The sequence below is a fragment of the Homo sapiens genome, chromosome 10 (assembly GCF_000001405.40).
Source record: "Homo sapiens chromosome 10, GRCh38.p14 Primary Assembly".
In the NCBI taxonomy this organism is placed as follows: Eukaryota; Metazoa; Chordata; class Mammalia; order Primates; family Hominidae; genus Homo; species Homo sapiens.
In genome coordinates, this window is record NC_000010.11 from 113033056 (window position 1) to 113052149 (window position 19094).

General features: G+C 42.9%; 1 protein-coding gene and 1 non-coding gene across 16 annotated transcripts in view, besides 1 other annotated feature; both read left to right on the top strand.

Moving 5' to 3' along the window:
- Positions 1–19094, top strand: part of TCF7L2 (transcription factor 7 like 2) — a 217432-nt gene that overhangs the window by 82809 nt on the left and 115529 nt on the right. For 14 of the 15 annotated variants that reach the window (NM_001367943.1, NM_001363501.2, NM_001146274.2 and 11 more), the window contains one exon: positions 6970–7071. The exons of the other annotated variant lie outside the window; for it this stretch is intronic. In NM_001367943.1, the coding sequence (NP_001354872.1) occupies positions 6970–7071 (102 nt within the window). The remainder of the gene's footprint in view (positions 1–6969; positions 7072–19094) is intronic. 15 annotated transcript variants of the gene reach the window in all.
- Positions 11000–11998: an enhancer, noted in NCBI's record as "H3K27ac-H3K4me1 hESC enhancer chr10:114803814-114804812 (GRCh37/hg19 assembly coordinates)". NCBI's record gives its function as "activates a minimal SCP1, AML or CMV promoter by ChIP-STARR-seq in primed H9 embryonic stem cells {active_cell/tissue: H9 hESC(primed)}" and the evidence as "EXISTENCE:reporter gene assay evidence [ECO:0000049][PMID:30033119]".
- SNORA87 (small nucleolar RNA, H/ACA box 87) lies at positions 12300–12521 on the top strand. Its single transcript, NR_132769.1, has one exon. It is a non-coding gene; the product is annotated as a small nucleolar RNA, H/ACA box 87 (small nucleolar RNA).

Here is a 19094-nt window from a genome sequence, read left to right on the forward strand (position 1 = left end):
TAAGGGAAAAACTTAAAAGAGTTCCGACTATGTTGGTTTTTTTTCCCCCAAGTCAACCTTAATATCTTACTTAAATCTTTTTCTTTTTTATCTTTTCTTTTCTTTTTTTCTTTTCCCTCCCTCCCTCCTTTCCTCCTCCTCCTTCCCTTCCTCCTCCTCCTTCTGCTGCTTCTCTCTCTCTCTCTCGTTTCCTTTTCTTTTCTATTCTTCCTTTTTCTTTTGAGACCAGGTCTTGCTCTGTTGCTCAGGCTGGAGTGCAGTGGCACCTTCTTGGCTTATTGCAACCTCTGCCTCCTGGGCTCAAGTGATCCTCCCACCTCAGCCTCCCAAGTAGCTGGGACCACAGGCACGCGCCACCACACTCAGCTAATTTTTTTTTTTTGGTAGAGATGGGGTCTCCTAGGCTGGTCTTGAACTCCTGGACTCAAGCAATCTTCCTGCCTCAGCCTTCCAAAGTACTGGGATTACTGGCGTGGGCCACCATGCCTGGCTTGAAATTTTTCTATGGCTTTATTCTTTCTCCAAGTACAGAGTCTACCCAACCTTCTGAGATCTTTGGTTTTCTTTTCCTAGGTAACTATAGTACATACTTATTTATGTTAAACAACAGCAATCACACATTTCTTTTTCTATACAGTCATGCTTTATAGGCAAATAAAGCCTCCGTCTTAGGCTTTCTGGATTTTTTCAAAAGATGCAATTCCTGGAGTATGTTTTTACTTAGAGCAAAGCAGCCTAGTCTCCTATACCTTCTGCATCTGCAGAAAAGTTGGTTAAACAGACTTTGTAATGATGCCCCTTACAATTCTGAAGGGACTTGTGAAATAGTTTCACAGAGTTTCAGTGTTAGGTATATTTGATCAATGCTAACTTTTGGAAAACTTTGGTGCCTGTATGATTCAGAGGGTAGGGCAGAATATTAAATTAATCACAACTTCTTGTATTTTAACCATTCTGGGTAAATTGGGATTCCGTGACGCCCAGGCAAAATTATTTGTTTATAGAAGATGGGCTGAATTTTCCATCGTCCATTTCTGAGAAATGAGGTAGGTTTAGAAAGAGACAATCAGGCCTCTTCTTTAACAGAAATGTTTGTGTCTACTAGGTGTGTGTCACAATATGAGTTCCTGAAGAAATAAGTGTCCGCTATTGGGTTGTATACTTGTACTTCCTATTTTCTTATTTTGCACATTTTTCTGGTATTTCCCTTTCTATGGTGAGTGGCTTCTGATCGTCTTTCCTTTTGTAAAGTGTAATGATATGAGAATCATAATCGTGGTGCGGTCTTTTGTGTTGCATATTTGTAGGGGGTCAGTATGAATGGCCCGTGGTGAGGCTGCACTGAAAGATTAGGAGCAGCCACCTTGATGCGGAGGAGGCTTAGTGACTTTGGACATGATGGGCTATGGCTGGCTATACTCTCAGCTTTGGGCGCATAAGCAGAGTATTGATTTTGTATTTGGTTAAAACCAGAAGTACAACTTTCTGGCACCAGAGGATTAGGAAAATTTAACAGCGGAAAGCCATCATGAGGATAGTAACCAATTAATTCGATTTTTTTGGTCAGACATGGCTCCCACCTGTAATCCCAGCACTTTGGGAGGCTGAGGTGGGAGGGTCATCTGAGGTCAGGAGTTTGAGACCAGCCTGACCAACATGGTAAAACCCGATCTCTACTAAAAATACAAAAATTAGCCTGGCGTGGTGATACGCGCCTGTAATCCCAGCTACTCGGGAGGCTGAGGCAGGAGAATCACTTGAAGCTGGAAGGTAGAGGTTGCAGTGAGTCGAGCTTGCGTCACTGCACTCCAGCCTAGGCAACAGAGTAAGACTGTATCTCAAAAATACCATAATTCGTTTTGTCTTTTCTTTACTTTTTTCTTTCCTTTTCCTTCCCCTCTCCCCTCCCCTCCTTCCCTTTCCTCCCCTTTCCTTCCCTTTCCATCTCTTTCCTTCCTTTCTTTTCTCTCTTTCTCTCTTTCTTTCAACAGGGTCTCGCTCTGAACCTTTTCCAGTCAGAATTGCTCAGGGATTTTTAGACTTCCATTCTGGAAAAGAGGGGGTAGTTATTTTGGTGAGATTGTGGTCTTGTGGTTAGACCTTGTGATGGGGGCCTCAGCCAAAGGGTTCAGGATTTTTTTCCAAGCTTTTCCCTCACAACTTGAGTTAATCCGAAACGTTGCTATTAGGCCACCGGACATGCTTTTCTGCATGCCTGTGTTGGGCTGTTTGGATTGAAGGCCCAGCAAGGGAAGGCACCCTCGCCCATCTGACACAGGCAGGCCTCTACAATTTTATTCCCTAACCAGGGCATGACAAACTATGGCCCATAGACCAAAATTGGCTTGCCACGTGCTTTTTTCTGGCCAGTGAGTTAAGAATGACTTTTTATTATCATTATTATTAATATTTTTTGAGCCAGGTTCTCATTTTGTCACCCAGGCTGGAGTGCAGTGGTGCAATCACGGCTCCTGCAGCGTGAAACTCCTGGGCTCTAGCAATCCTCCTGCTAACTTTTTTTATTTTTGTACAGTCTTGCTGTTGTTGCCCAGGCTGGTCTGGAACTCCTGGCCTTAAGCAATCTTCCGGCCTTGGCCTTCCAAAATGTTGGGACTACAGGCCTGAGCCGCTGCATCCAGCACTTTTATTATTTTTAAATGGTTGAAACACATCAAGAGAGGAATAATATTTTCTGACACAGGAAAATGATATGAAATTCACATTTCAGTATCTGTAAATAAGCTTTTATTGGAGCACAGCCATGATACAAGACATATACTGACTGCCTGTGGCTGCTTTCGAGTTACAATGGCTGAGTCGAGTAGTTATGACAGAGATTGTGTGGGCCGCAAAGCCTAAGATATTTGCTGTCTGGCACTTTGCAGAAAAAGTTTGCCAACCCTGCCCTGAACAAATAAAGGGACAAATTCCACTTGCCCCGTCCATCTGTGGAGCAGAGTCACTGAAAGGAAATACTGGAAATACTGGAAGCCACTTGGTGTTTTATCAAGGATGTGAGGTTTCCTGGCAACTTTGTCGCCATATCATCATCATCATCACCATCATCATCATCATCATCATCATCATCATCATCATCATCATCATCATCTGCCCTTTAAGTTTTCTGCTTGTTTAGAAAAGAAATTTATACAGAGCCCCCAGTAGCAGCTGTAAGGGGGCAGGTTCTTGGAGCAGCCCATCCTCAACATTCTTGCTGCTGATGGAAGATTCTCAAGGATGAAGGCCCCTCTATGGGAGCAGGATCAGTCTGGCTTTAGTAGATGCCAATTTCTGCTAAGACTATTTCCTAAAGGAGCCTCTCCTCATTTGCCTTTTCTCCCTGTTTTCATTGGGGGAGGTGGAAGAGGAGAAAAATAATTAGAGATGCTCACCTTTTTCTTTTTGCTGGCAATTTAACAGTCTTTTCAGCTGCTTTGATTCCTTTCAGGCCATTGGTGTTGTATATATTTCAAGATTTGCTCACAGGTCCAAAGCTTAACTTAAGCTCCCTGAGACATATCATAAAATATGATTTGGGGAAAAACCCTAATGGGCCATGATCAGAACATTATTATTCAACAAAGGATGAAATGCTTAAGCCAAGATGGCCTTCTTTCTTTCTTTCTTTCTTTCTTTTTTTTTAATGAAAGTTGAGCAGACTCCCGTCCAACAGTTTTCAATGTAGGAATTCCCACAGCCCCATTTGATTGCAGTTTGTTGAAAAGTTTAATGTTTTTGTAGGCAATTCATAATTTCCACATTGAACAGCCTGAGAGGAAGAGAGCTGGAGCCCACTGTTGTTTTTGTAGTGGGATGGTGGGAACTTTTTTTTTCCCTCCCCCAAAAGGATATAAAACTAAGTCAGATGGTTGGGAAAACGTGGCACAGGGTTCCAGCCCTTTTGTAAATCTGAGATGCCCCCTCCTTTAGGTCTTCCTTTAGGACCCAACAGAATAGAAATTCCTGCTGCTTAATGTCTCCAGGAAGGAAAAAAATTTTCCTCTAGGCTGTAATAGTACCTAATTTCCTTTTTCTTCTCTTTATTTATTTATTTTCCCTATTAATAAGCACCAATTGTAGAAGATGAAGGAAGCTGGGAAACCCATCACTTTTGGAGAAGGTTAATAGCTTCCTTTAGAAAATCCTGACATAATACTTATTTCCCCAAAAGGCACTTCATCAGCCTGAATGCCAGTTAAGATTCAAGGAATGGGCTTGGATTTGTGTGTACCCAGCGGTTCTGTGGCATCAAGTTGCACTGGGAAGGAGAGTTTGGGGCTGTCACTGTGGAGTCCCTGCAAGTCAGCAGGACCAGGGCTGTCTTCCTGCACCATCTGGATTTGGTTAGCTCTCTCTGGGCAGTGGGGCCGAGTCTCATTTCCTCCAACAATAATGTTATATAGGCAATGATCCTGGGCTGCCCTAACATAATTGAAAATTATGTGTATTGTAGGCTTGGAGTGCTGAAATGTGGGCTCATAAAAATATGTGGTGCAGGTAGCCTATGGAGATTGGATGTGGCACACAATGAAGCTTTTATGTAAAGTAAGAATTATAAGTCTCCATGTTAATATTGTATTATGAGTATGACAGTTCTTGGGTGGGTCCTCAGGGCAGGTCTGTCACCTTCAACAAAGCCCGAGTTTCCTAATTCTACAGAGCTGGTATTTGGATGTAATCAAATCGGTTTTGCAGGTGGCCAAAGATGAAAACTTGTCCACCAATCCAGCTCTCCCCACTGAGGGATAGCATGGGATGTAGATGGGTTTGACTCCATTTGGCATTTTTGTTCACGGGTTTTTATGAGATGGAGAGGTGAGTGTTGGTGGGTGTCCATTTTGGTTGGCCTCAAGGAAATGACTCTATTGAGTGGTTTTGACCAATGCAGCTCATATAGTTATGTGGTAAGTGAGAATGGGAAGAAGTTGGGATGAGATGGGGCAGTTTAGATTCCCAGAGCCCTCTGGCCTGGGTTACAGATGGAGACTGGAAATATTTACTTTAGTGGTTCTCAACTTGAGATGATACTGCTCCCAGAGAAGGTATTTGGAAGTGATGAGATGGTAAGGATAACCAAGGGGGTTCCTGTTGGTATTTACTGTCTGGGGGCTTGGAGTCCTACAAGTCCTTCAGTGTTTGGGGCAGACTCCCCACCTAATACCCTGTCGCAGATAGGACAACTCATTCAGTACACAGATGAAAAAAACAGAGATCACTGAAGCAAGGGGAGTCGATGCAGGGTCTTGTGGCAAGATGCAGACACAACCGGACTAATAACTAGGTTGCTCACCACGGGAGGCCTCTAGGTGAAAGCTCTGAATTTGTAGCAGACACACCCACCTCGTATAGATCCTAGACGTCATGGGAAAATCGACTGTGTACTTTGGCAAGTAGTTCTTGGGCAATGATCTTCCAGCTTTAGGTATAACCAAATTTGGTTTGAATTTGCCAAGCAGTCGTATCTTCGAGGAACTCCGTCGGCTGGCTTGTGGATGGCTTTGGCACTTCTGTCTCTCGTGGGATTTGTGCAAACCCTTCTTTCTGTATTATCCTTTCCTGTCTTTTTTCTTTCTATTGAAATTGTTCTGACCATCAAGACCTAACTCTGTGCAGCCTTCCCCAGTCTATTGTCCCAGAAATTCTGTCATCTTTCTTGGCATTTCCTGAGTCCCTGAGTCTCTGTCACAGTGTCACCATGTTCTGTCTTGATTTACCTGTGTCTGTAAGGCTCCTCATGCTGGCAAAACTCCCCGAGAGCGGACATCTTTGTCTCTCCTAGTGCTTGTCACAGCCTGTACACAAAGCAAGTAGTACTCAGTGTTCATTGAGTAAAGTTTTCTATAGAATTAATATTAAAACCAGCCATTTATTTTGCTTGAGGAGGTCTCCGAAATGACCAAGGTGTCTCCTTATATCTTATATCCCCTCCAAGCATTCATTAACTGATGGATTAGTGAGTTGGCCTTGAGAAGCATAAAGGCTCGTCTCCATGTGCTTCTAAGCATTGTGTCTAAGTTCTGTTTGGTTTCCTGAGTGAAACTGTCTTAATGTTACCAACAGAAGTTAAATGCCTAAGAGTTTCTTATACATGGGCTGAGTACCTCTGTGACTGGGCAAGCCACCTCACCTCATTTTACCTTGTCTGCAAAATGAGGAACTGGGTCAACTCATCGTTCAAATCTCACTGAAAGCTAATTGATCGCTTTTGACAGAAGTAGCTCCCTTGGGCCGTATATTTATTTCCTAGCTTGGAGGAAGGTGGGGACAGACAGAATTGATGTACACCTTTATTTTTATCTCTATGGTAAACCTGTGCATACTAAAGCATTCCTCTGGTCTTTTGAGATGAGTGTATACATTGTGTCTGGCCCTGTGCATTTTTTACCAAGAAGTAAGTTTTGTTGAGTAAACTTGGGTTGTATGAAGAACTGCATGCTCACCGTACTCAAGTAGCTTTTGCTACCTAAAGGACAGCTGCTCATATGTACTTGACTTCCTTTAAAGTGAAGGATGATGACATTTGAAAAACGGAGGTTGAAAAGGAGCAGATTTGGAATTGATGGTTTCCTAGGACACTTCTGGCTTGAGATTTGTGTTTTACTTTCTTCCTTTGGAATAGCTCTATATTCTTTCCTCTCCCTCCCCACCTCTCCCACTCCCCTCCAGCCCCCACCAAGTTAAGGTAGTAGTAATGAAATCATTTTTTCTGAAGCTACCCTGTACTTTGAATGCAAAGACAAAAAATACAGTTGCTAGTAACATTAATCTTCTATATGTGTACTTACTGAACTTGAGCTCTGAGGAAGACCCTATTGGAATTGCATGCTTTTTTATTTTTTTAATGATTATTTGCATGCTTGTATGTTTTTCAGTTTCTGACCCATGTCACAGTTATTTCTTGGGCTAGTTGTTCTGCATTTACTTTCTGAATTCATTGTTTTTCATTTCACTTTTGTTTCCTCTCGCCAGTATCTCCAGATGAAATGGCCACTGCTTGATGTCCAGGCAGGGAGCCTCCAGAGTAGACAAGCCCTCAAGGATGCCCGGTCCCCATCACCGGCACACATTGTCGTAAGTAACCTCCCAGAGATGATGGCTTCCTTTATTGAGGGGGTGAAAAAGAAAATGCTTTTTTGATGATAACAGGCCTTATTTGTCATTTTTTTCTTTCTTTAAACACATTTTCTTTGGAAATATTGTTGGGTATAGTTTATATCTATAAGGTATTCATTTTCTGCTATTGGACCTTAATGATTGTAACCTACCTGGAAATTTTACAAACCTTTCCTCCACTCTTTTCCATGTATTTGGTTAAAATCTAGCCTTGTGGGCTCTAGTTTATAGGACACAATCACCATGGTATGGAGGAGACTAGAGGTGGTATCAAAGCAGTTATAAAAATACATTCAGGGCAGGTGAAGTGAAGAAGAGGGAATTAGAAAACTCAAAAGGGGGTCCTGGATTTGAAACTTGCCTATTATCCTCTCCCCCAATTTATCTTAATATTTGTTGGCAACATTCTACACTAACATTAGAAAAATTTCATCTGGGCTGGCTGACTTGTAAACCTAGAGTAGAAATGAACTTTGAAAGGCTAAAATGGAATTTAATCTATACATCCATGGCTTTGAAAGTATGTAGGTTTGATAGAGAAAGCATTTGTTTTTAGTACTAAGAGACTACAAGTGTGTGTCTACATATATTTTTAATGTATTTTCTTAGGGTTTTGTAGGCTCTAAGAGTGGAATTTATAAATTAACCTCTTGAGAAGATAGCTCAGCCTTATTTGAAGATTCCCTTCTATGTATTTATATCATGAGCTGGACTTCATACTTTTGAAATAATTAATGGAAGGCATATTTTTATAATGAATCCATCCATGACAGGTAGAATTATGCAAAGCATGAATCAATCATGGGTTTTTCATTTGAGTATCACAAAATGTTAATCATAAATACATTTTGCCTCTATATTGTAATTTCTAAAAATTGCAAAATAAGTTTCTTAAGTAGAAAAATCTTAAGATGCATTCTGCCATTTTGGGCTAACTGCCTCCTTATTTTGGAGCTTGCTGTAATTGAGCATGTGTTATTTAATGAGTTATACCTCTGTCATATGTGTGTGTTTATATCACAAAATAACTTATTTTTATAAAACCATATTTTGAGTCATCATTTGTGACAATGTCTTCTTTTCTCTGGTATAAATGAGGCATGTAGAAAGAAGATTGACATTTGCTAGAAGCTTCCCCTTTCCTCTAACTCCACAATAAAATGGATGCTCATAATTACATCTGCTCCTATAAGGTCAAGATTTCAGGGCTGGAAGTGACCTTAGATCATTTAGGCCCAACTTGCCCTCAGGAAAGGAAACTGAGGCCCAGAGATGCCTTAAGTGAATTGCCCAATGTCACACGCTGAGTCAGTGGCCAGAGCAAGGCTTGGATCCAGTTCTCTGCTCCCTTTCCAGAGCCTTGTGATGTCTTCTCTCCTACAGGAGGTGAAAATAACTGCTGTGGCTGGTTCTGTTTTGCTGACTGTAAATTGGGTCATGGTCAGGGACAGTGCATAGGTGTAAAGAAGTTGCTGGTTGGGGGTTCTAATGCAGGTTTCTCCAAAAGTGAATGCCCTGTTAAAAAAAAATTCTTAACAAATATACAGAGATTTTTTTTTTAAAAAAGTGTGACAGTTCTAGACACCTAGAGAGTAAAGTGAAGAAGCCTGTTTTCAGGTTTCCCGCCTCCCTGAATTTCCCAGCATGGTCCAGGCTTTGAAATTTATTTATCTGCTTTTGGCAATGGTTGATGGGAATTTCCCACATTTATTTTTTAGCTACAGAGAAAGGACATTATCTTTAAAATCTCTTCGTTGTTCTCTCTCTTTGAGTGAGGAGAGAAGATGTGAATCCTGGCAGTGGTTCAGAGTGGACACAGCCCCTGTGTTTGTGGCATAGGCTCTGTGGGCCCCATGCCAGGGAGCAGTACCCCCGTGTAAAGGAGTGGGGGTTTGTCCATTTGGATAGAGCAAAGATCCTCCACCTCAAATCCCACAAGAACAGTTGCCACAACCTGGGCCCTAAGCATCTCATTTTCCTATGTAGAAATTAATGATCTGGAGGAGATGGCAAAACATTCCTTCCAGAGCCTGTGTGGATTTTGGCCAGGGGTGCAGCAAGGGGGCTTAGGCACCTTTTTCCTCTGCTGTGTCTTAGCAGGCGTGTTGACCATAGCAACTCCCCTGGGGCATACACACCCTCTTGTAGATGGAGACCTTTGTCCAAAGCAGCCACAGCTGGCAACTGTCTACAATCTTTTGGGCTTTCTGCTGTGCTCAAGGGGATCTGGGAATGGCCATTGCCTAGAGGGGATGGGCTGGTGGAGGAAGGTGGGCTCTGGGAGCCGGGGAGAAGGGAAAAGCCATGAATTTGGACAAAAGGACAAATGTGGTTTACATTTGTGAAATACTTGAATGCTTGTCATGAATGGTGACTTTGGTTCTATGAGTCAGCCCTGTGATGGGGTATTTCTGCAGTCTTCACCTGACACCAGGGGTGAGAAGGAGGATTTCTGGGGAGGAGGAAAGAGTTGAGGGAGATAGGAAAGTAGAGTGGAAGAAAGGCCTTGCGTTGTTGACCTCTATCCACCTGGTCACCTATAGTTTTTGGGATTGAGGATGCATACACCTTGAGACTACAAATTTATGATTATATTTTTGCTGAACATAAGGCAATGTGCCAACCAAAACCAGCTGTTCTTTGGCTGGTACAGTGTGTCTTTGTTTGTAAAGGGTGCATTCTGAATGGTGGCTGATACATCATTTGGGTCTTTGTACAGTTAAACATTGGCCAGAGGGTCTGGTTCGTGTTTAGAGTCGCCGATGAAGGGCTAACTTTTCTCCAGACACTTGGGGCTCTTGTTCACACTTTGCTTTTCACTCTTTTAAGTAAGACATAGTCACATCACAGTGTTTCATCAGACATGTTTCAAAATAATTGTCTAAGGATTGCTTCTTAATTTCCCCGAAATTTGGAATTGTTGTAACTTTTGGGCCAAGCTATTTCATAATTATTTCTAATGTCTCGCTTGAAGAATAGGGATGTATTCAGTGTTGATTATTAATCATTCGAAACTACAACTTTACAGATTGCTAAGAAGAATAACTTCTTCCAGTACCCATATGGGGCAGAATCTTCACGTGGGAATTCAGAGCATTTTGTTGGACTATTTTAATCTGATTGGATTATTTTCATGTGGTATGTGGGTTACCACATTAGAAACGATTGATGTGTAGAATAAATGTTCTTAACAAGTGGAGGTCAACTTATCAAATGATATTTACATTAAGAATAGACTCCACAAATTTTAGTTCCTGTAGCTGATATAGCATCTCATTTGTTATATAATCCAGTGATTCCTAATCTGTGTTCAGAGGAGAGAGGAAATCGATTGCAACAGGGACGATGCCTTCATTGGCTGGCCCAAAACTGGGAGTTTATACAAGGCGTCAGTCTTTGCCTTCCTCCTCCCTGCCTTCCCTCTTCCTTCTTCCTTCCCCATACTCCCCAACAAATTCATGGACTTCTTAACAACTCAGAGACATTAGCCACAAGTTCCAAGACACCCCCACCCCCCAGCCTCCCCAGTCCTATTTTCGCATTCATATAACTAAACTCTTTTTCTTTCTTGGTGGAGTTTTGAAATTTATATTTTTAATTCTTTGCTCCCTTTTTTCCTCTTACAAAATGAGTGCCAAGCAGCTAAGTTGTGCTGAGTGGTAGAGTTTGAGTCAGTCTTGGCTGGTAAGCTGTGGGGTTAGGAGCCGCTCCCTGGATACCACCTCTGGTGTCTTTGCTATACAAAGACTTTCATTTAGCCTCCTTTGTATCCAGCAAAAAAAGATTCAGTACCCAAAATGGTGGTATTTTGGTATAGTATGTATCTTACAAAACGGCAAAAGACTTCAAAAGTTCCTACAATTTTATCTTGGGGGTTTCCTTTTGAAGTCGATGTAGAATTTTACCTTGGGGTGGATTTTTTGTACTTCTTGGTCTGGTGTGTTTTGTTGTGTAATGAGCATGGAGGTGTGGGATAAGAAAGCAGACTGAATCCCGAGGAACAAAGCCTGCCAGACTGTGGTGGTGTACTTTTCTTGTTGTTATTGCTTAAATGCTGCAAGAGAGTGGAAAACTCTTACGAAATAATGCACGATGGGTAGAACTTCAGAGAAAATCTCTGCCGTCTACCCTGTGCATTTTCGAGGAAGCTCAGAGGGCATGCTGAACCTTTGCTTTTTGTTTCTGAAGAGTTCAGGGGAACCTACCCATAATTAATTTTTTAAAACACTACCTAGAGAGCACCCTCTTGGTTATTAAACACATGCGCTGTTTCGATGGGATGTTTGACCTGGATTGTGGATGCTTGCTGGGACGTGGCATGTGTTGGGAGGCTCTGTGCTGCCTGCTGAGCACCAGCAAAGCCACAGTGGCCCCTACCTCTGTGGGAGGCCCTGTGCCAGGTGCCCTCAAAGAGTAGGGGGCCCATGAGGGTATGACCAGGGGGACCTGATTTCGGCTGAGAAGTTGGCGGGGATTACAGGCCTGGGCGGCTCCCTGAGGAAATTGCATTAAAAATGAGATCTGAAGGCTTGATTGGGGTTGGCCCAATGAAGGGATAGGAGAAGGGATGGGGAGTGGGCAGAAGGAAACACATGTGTGAAGGTCCTCAAGGGAAAAGTGCTTGGCTTGGACAGAGGCAGGAAATCAGGTAGGAGGCTAGAGGTCGGGCAGGGCTCCGGGAGAGTGACTTGGGGTGCAGCATATGGTGAGGATCTGACACTGGGGAGTCATTTGAGCAGGTTGGCTGTTTCTGTAGGAGCGTGTGTTAAGCTGCTGGCAGTGGGGATGGTGAAAATAGAGATGTGGAGGAAACAGCAGCGGAACTTGCTGACAGGTTAGATATTGGCATTGAGGGAGAAAGGAGAGTCAAAGGTAGGTAGATGGAGATGCTTCACTGAGTGGGGAGTATTGGAGGAGGAGCAGGTTTGGGGTGGAAGCGTTGTCCTTTTAGAGAGATTGTATTTGCCATTGATTGATTCATTCATTGTTTCTGCAAATATTTAGTGTGGGAAAAAGCATGCTAGACACCAAGAGAGAGTGGAGTCAATGAAGAACGATAACAGCAACAAAGACTGTAGCGCTTCCTATGCGAGGCTTGTTCCAGTTGCTTCAGAGGCTGTGTTACCCCTGTTCTAGAGAGGAGGAACTAGGCCCAGGGAGGTGGGGATTTGCCCAGTCGTGGGAGTCAGGATGTGAAACAAGGCACCCTGGCTCCAGAGCACACCGTCCTCTCAACCACTGCAGAGAAGCTGGGAAAGAGACAAATAAGTGGGTGCTTAGAGCACAATGTGTGTGGTGTGCCAAGAGCAGCTGGGAGCCCTGGGACCCCCAGGGAACCCCAGCCCCACCTGGGCATGGTGGGCATGGCTGGAGGAGGCCTGCTGGCTTTGCTGGAGAGTGGGACATGCATCAAGGTGGCCAGAGACTGGGCTTCTGGGTGTCGTGCTGTGACTGCTGCAAAGGGCTCATTGACATATGGTGGGGAGGGCCAGCGTATTTTCTGCGGGCAGGACATTTGGGGGATATGGGGTGTGACCCTGTACTATCTAAAATCTTTTACTTCTGGATTATCTCCACTTTCTCTACTGCATATATACTTTGTTTTTATTTATTTTATTCATTTATCTATGACTCAGCCAGACTCTCTAAAAGAGTTGACTTGTGTTTCCTAGCAGCCACTGAGTCAGAACTTTCCCATTTCGCAGTCAGGGCTGTGGTCAGGGTGTCTGTGTTGTCTAAGGATATAAAGCAAGCCTTCGGGCACTACCAAAACATTATTTTATAAGGAGAACTATGAGTACCTAATAGGAAGAACCAGGCAATCAGGTTATCTTTTGGTGAGGAAGAAGTGGTAGATGGGATCATTGGTGCTTTGAAGGGAGTGGGTGGTGTAGACTCCAAAGTGTACATGGGGCCATGATAGAGTCTATGTCAGATGTCCAAAGCTTCCTTCTCTCCTCCCAGAAACTCTGTCCTCTGGTGAAGAGTTTTGAAGTTTCCTGAGGTTTGGGTTCATGGTGTGGCAGGTGATACCATGGCAATAGAAAATATCCCATCAAGAAGGATTGTGTGACCTCAGTTGTAGCCCCTGCATGTTGGAATCACAACAATTTGCAGGGCCTTAAAATCAAATGCCATTTCACCAACTGCCCTCCCCCGTTTTTTTCAGCACTGTTTGGTAGCTATCTGTTTCCCCTGATATTCTTGGACACTTCCAGAGATGGGGGCTCTATCTCCTGGTGGTAGACTGTTTCTTTTTGGTACAATATGAACTCTTAAGAGAGTTCTACCTTTAGGGAGCTGCAGTCTCTCTCCTGGAAATGCTCAACTCCTTAATTCATGTTTTGCTGTTAAATTCTGCTAATGCCTCACCTTACATGTCTTGACAATTTGAAGGTAGCTATTGTATTCCCCGCAACCCCAAGTCTTCTCTTCAAAATGATTATTAATTGTAATTCAAATCATCAGTGACTGGTATCTTAGACTACTTAAGGATGGGAATTGCTAATTTTGTATTTAAAAGTTGTACCTCTAAAGTAAGTGAAATTTATTTTTAAACGTAGCTTTCTTCATTCATAAAGTTTATGTTCATTGTAGGCAGTTTGGAAAACAGCCCATAATCTCACCACTCGGAGATTACATTGTGAATAATTTGGTATATTTCCTTTTAGAAATATACCAAATTATCCTTTTTTCCTCTGAGTGTATGAATATTTATATTTGTTTTTAACATACTTGAGCTCATAGTGCTCAGTATTTCCAACGTTCTGTTTATTTAAGATGAAAATTGCTGTAGTTAATAAGCACTTCCCCATGTCATTAAAATGCTTAAGGATTTTTAATGACCACATAACAGTCCATAATATGATTAAACCCCAATTTACTGAATCAATGCCATATTGTTGGGTCTTTAGATTGTCTCCTTTTGTTTCTGCTACTGTGAATGATCCTGTGATGATCATCTTTGTGTGTAAATCTTTGTCCCCTCGCCCCCTCCCCTTTTATTATTTTCTTGGGATAGACCCCAGGACAAAAGGTAGAAAAGAACAAAGTGTTAAAAAATTTCTTGATACATAGCCACAGATTATTTTCCTGAAAGTTCTCAACATTTATAACTACGAGCAGTATGTAAGAGAGTTATGGTTGGAATGATTTTAATGTCTCTGGGGAATTTAACAACAAAAAAACTTTAGGCTTCTTTGGAGAGAGACATGCCCTTAACTCCACCCCGCCCTAGAACAGAGACCCAGCCCATCCAAGTCAGCCTCCCCAGGTCCTCCACCTTCAAAACAGGCAAACGAAATCATTTCTTGAATAATTGGTAGGCTTCAAGGTCAGATGTTTATTTTAGATAATTCACAGCATAAATTTATATGTTTTAGGTACCTTAGCCCCTGAATATACTCAGTTCATTTAGGACTATTTTAGAGGTCTTGAGTTTACTCTTATAACCTCACATTTTTTTGTGAATTTTTAGTTCTATTATCTTTGTTTTCATGGCATATTATTGGGCAAAGATACTATTTATTCGATGCTATGTGTGAGCTGGGTCAGGATTATGACCCTGAGTTATGTTTCTGGGAAAATGTACCCACTTGTCAAAGATGCCGTTGGCTCCTGTGATTAAGGTCAGCCCACAATGAATGTGGGGAGGGCTGGCAGCCTCTCAAATCAGCTCTTGACCATTTCTCAAGCTGGGGCCTGTTGTGCTTGGGGGAAGAGTCTTTGGCAGCTCAGCTCGGGGCTAGCGTTTCCTGACATTTGTTTCGCTGAATGTTAACAAGGTTACTGGAAAAAAGGGTTCTCTCCTAAAATAGGTTTAGGGAAGCACTGGGATATGCGAAGTGAATGAGTTTCTTTAGGGCAGGATCTTGACTCTGCAGGGGGCTTGGAGGCCTTCCCTAGAGTGGGGCTTCCTAACACTGCAGAGCTCTTCCCAGGACGAGGGGCAAGATTGGGACCTACTTTGGAAGGTTGTTTTTGTTTCGGCACCTGCTCTGTTTACGAAGCGTGGGAGCCTGTTTTAAATTAATGTGCGCCTACTTAGAGCTACACTCATGGTTTTGACTATGTTTATCTTTCCAGTAAATAAAACAAAATTGTTCATTTGGCACCCAGCCTGTCCTGCTTGTCATTTCTTGTCTTGCTGATTAACTCTATGGATGGGGCATGTTTCTCCAACCAGATTGTAAGTTTCTTGAAGCCAAGGAGCCCTGTGGTTGATTTCTTCACATGTGGCTCTCTCTCCTCCCACAATGGTGCTTCGTTAATTAAGCAGAAAACCCATCTCTGGTTAGGGACTGGAGTTGATTTCGTTTGGAATGAGTGTGACTTCATCATGACCTGAAAGTGTTCAGAACCATCTTGGTTAGCACAAGGGCGTGGACGTGTGTCTACTTTCTACCTGATGGGATAGCATGTTTAATTTGGGGTTATGACACTGAATGGTTTGCCAGTAACTTGCTAATCCAACCTTATACATTCCAGCTCACAGTGGAGCGTGTCTAATTGCCACAGCAGCATTTATGTGGAACGTGGTTGCACAAAAGCTCCAGAAAGTCAGGCTGAGGGCTCCTATCTCTCCTCAATCTTGGTTTACGATGTCTGTTTCTGAGGAATCCTGGGATGGGGCCACTGGCTCTTTAAGAGAGAGCCCGATTTGGAAATCTAGGACTTGATTGTTGATTATGGGCAATAGATACATTTTAAGAATGATGTTGTAGGCTGTATGAAGTCATTTGATGATTGTTTTGTTAATGGCTTGCAGGTCAGATTTTCATCTTTTTAAATTAATTATCATAGAAGGAGAAAACAACTGGATTTCAGAATTGTCCCTTGAGGTGTACTGGAAACTAAGGCGTGAGGGACTCATAGGGGTCTGGCTTGGAAAGTGTATTGCTATGTCCAGTTTACACATAAGGATGTGCAAATCCAGCAGGTTAGCTGAGCTGCCCAGGAATATCCAGGCAAGAATGACCATATTCTGATAATTACTCAGGCCTCTGCCTCATCTCCGCTGCCCCCCCGCCCCCTGACTCTCTTCTGAGTGCCAGATTCAGCCTCCATTTGAATGCCAAATAGACAGGAAATTAGCATGCCCAGAATCCACGTCTTTAGTGCACTCTCTCCCCAGCTCCAAACCTGTTACTGCTTGTGTTCAACATCTCAGTAAAGCTCAACAACATCGACCCATTACTTAGGCCTCAAACCTTGGGTGGCATCGTCGATTGCTCTTTTCTTTCATACCCCACATTCAACCCATCAGCCCATCCCACAGGCCCAAGTGTGTCCTCTCTACCTTCAAAGCGTGTGTGGCATCCACCGCTTATCACCACCTCTGCCATTACCACTGGAGTCCAGTGCCATCATCTCTCACTTGGATGTGGCCAGAGTGTCTTTGCTGGTCTCCTTCTTGCTTCCTACCTTTGTAACAGCCTATCATCTATCTCTGGTCTCCATAGCTCACTCCCATACTTTGAGAGGGCCTTTGAAAGCCTTAGACAGATCATATCACAGACCTCTATACTGAAAGTCGGGATAAATTTTATCTCTGGAAAGAGTCCCAAAGCAGCGATGAACAGATATTTTGTCCTGTCACTTGATGAAGAGGTGGGGCTTTGAGACCCAAGAGCTTAGAATGGAGAGCCTAGATGCCACTAAGCCCAGGCACTGGCCATGCTTCGAGTGGAGCTTTTGTGCTGGTGGAGGAGAGATGGCTGGGGGACACCTGTAGGCTGAGCAAGTCCCCGTTCATCAGACCCTGGCTCATCCAGCAGGGCGTGGCTGATGTTTTCAATGTTGTATCCTGAGTGGGACCCAGATGCTTCCCAACTGTGCCACATCTGAGCCCTGCATGCCATCTGTCCAGTTGCAGCCTGACTGCAATGTGAGGCTGCTGAAGAGCTCTGGATGGTGTGAAGCAATCTGTTTTCTAGCCCGAGCCTGCATAGCTGGTGGATCCTGGACCGTGATTAAGTGCATCACCTAGGCTTCAATGAGATGGAGTCACTGTGTGTCCAAACAGTGGGATAAAGGCTTTACTCTTTGTCTTCCTGCTCTGAGGGCACAAGCTGCTTGTTTCTCTCACAAGGACACCGTCTGTGTTGCTCAGGTGCTGGGGTGAAAAAAACAGCAAGCATTTGAAAAGGCTGAAGAAGGAAAGAAAGCTGAGAGCGGTACAGCCTTGGGGACTGAGCCATCCCATTGTCCCAGAGGTGGGGGTGTTATCAAGACCTGTTTTTGAGCCATACCTCTGACTCTTCCTGGAAAGTTAGACCCAACTCAAGAACACACTAAGAGAAGTGTTTCCCCCTAGCCCTTTCAGATTGAAAGGAGACGCCAACCTTGATGGGTGGAGGTAGAAAATAAAGTCCCAAAACAGTGTCTTGTAAGCGAAGGGGAACATGGCTGGGCAGAGGGCTTCTGGTGAAACTTTTGGGAGTATTCAGTTGGAACTCAGGAAAAAAAAATTGTTTTTTTGGAAAGAGGTAGCAGCCCCCTTCAGCCAAAGCTCATAAATGAAGGAATGTCTGAGACTCAGAATTACAGTGACCAAGGCAAGACATTGTCAAAGGCTGAATAAGTGAGTTTGACTGACAGAGGCCATCTCCATTTTTAGTATATGGCCAAGCATCTTTCCCACAGTCTTCCTTGAGCCCCTTCCCATCCCACTTCTGAAAAGCACTGAGTTGGCCATTATTATGCTTTTTTCTTAAATTATGAAGTTGTTTTCAGGTATTGAGAATAACACCCAGGTGCTGAACTCCCAGCATAAGAAATCAAACATTCAAAATGGAGTAAGGTTCTGAAGCTGACATCTGTCTCTACACATTTTTTTTTTTCTGATAATGGCATTTCCTATCTCCACCCTCACTCTTTTTGTTGTGGTGAACTACACTTCCCTTGTTCCACTCGGTTCTGTTGCACATGTGATTAGGCAAGGGGCAGATATGTGATATTTATTATGAGTCTTTTCCACGCAGAGAGGATCTAAATCTGGCTCTTTGCAATTGCCTTCATACATGTGCATACACACCACACACACACACACACACACACACACACACACACACACAGACACATACATATGCACACACCCCGACTCAATGGAGGACCCTCATTTGTAGAAGGGTAAAATGGGTGAGGCGGAAATGCCTGTATGGCACCATGGAGTTCTGTGTAGCCAGTTCTAATCCTGGGCTATTTGGTAAGGAATGAAGTTGGAGATAGTCTTCTGTCCCTTACAACCAAAGGAATTCTAACTAATAGTTTGCCAAGTTTTATGTTTATAATAAAAAATGACATGCTTTTTCTTTTGGATTTTTAATGCTTTTGAATTAAAAATGCTAGAACATGAACTGATTCTTCTATCGCTATTTAGATAGAGCCTTGCAAGAGCAGAGCACGCATGCTTTCTTTAAGAACAGGTTGGTTTGTGGTCGTCTGAGGACTGTTTTAAGGAGACTTATTATACACAATCATCCCCCACAAATGATTTCTAAAGAGAGGCTGGTATGAAAGAAGGAGTTTCCATGATTCTGTCCTGTGGTTCTGGGGAATTCTGAAAATGAACTTTAGATATTTTTGTGAAATTCTTATTTTCATATTTTTGGTATCTCAGAGTTTTCTTTTCTGGCTTCTGTTTAACATACTCTTCTTTGCCCTAAATCTCTCTTATTTTTGCTCCTTGGGACAACTGAAGAATCCTTAGATAATTAATAGTATGAAATACTGCCCTTTTAGTTGAAAAATGTCACAATAATGTAATAAGATAAATAAGGAGGTGTCGCTTTAACCTGTATCGTGTAGTCTCCTCTACTTACTAACACTTACTTGTATTACTAGAAGCATTATTTTTTAAATCATGGAAAATTGGTGGCAAGCTGAGCATACAGTTGTTTATTTCTGTTTGACTGATTATTACAACTTCATTATTTGATGAAGGTTCTGTACGTTTTCCTTTAAGACACATAGAAATTGTG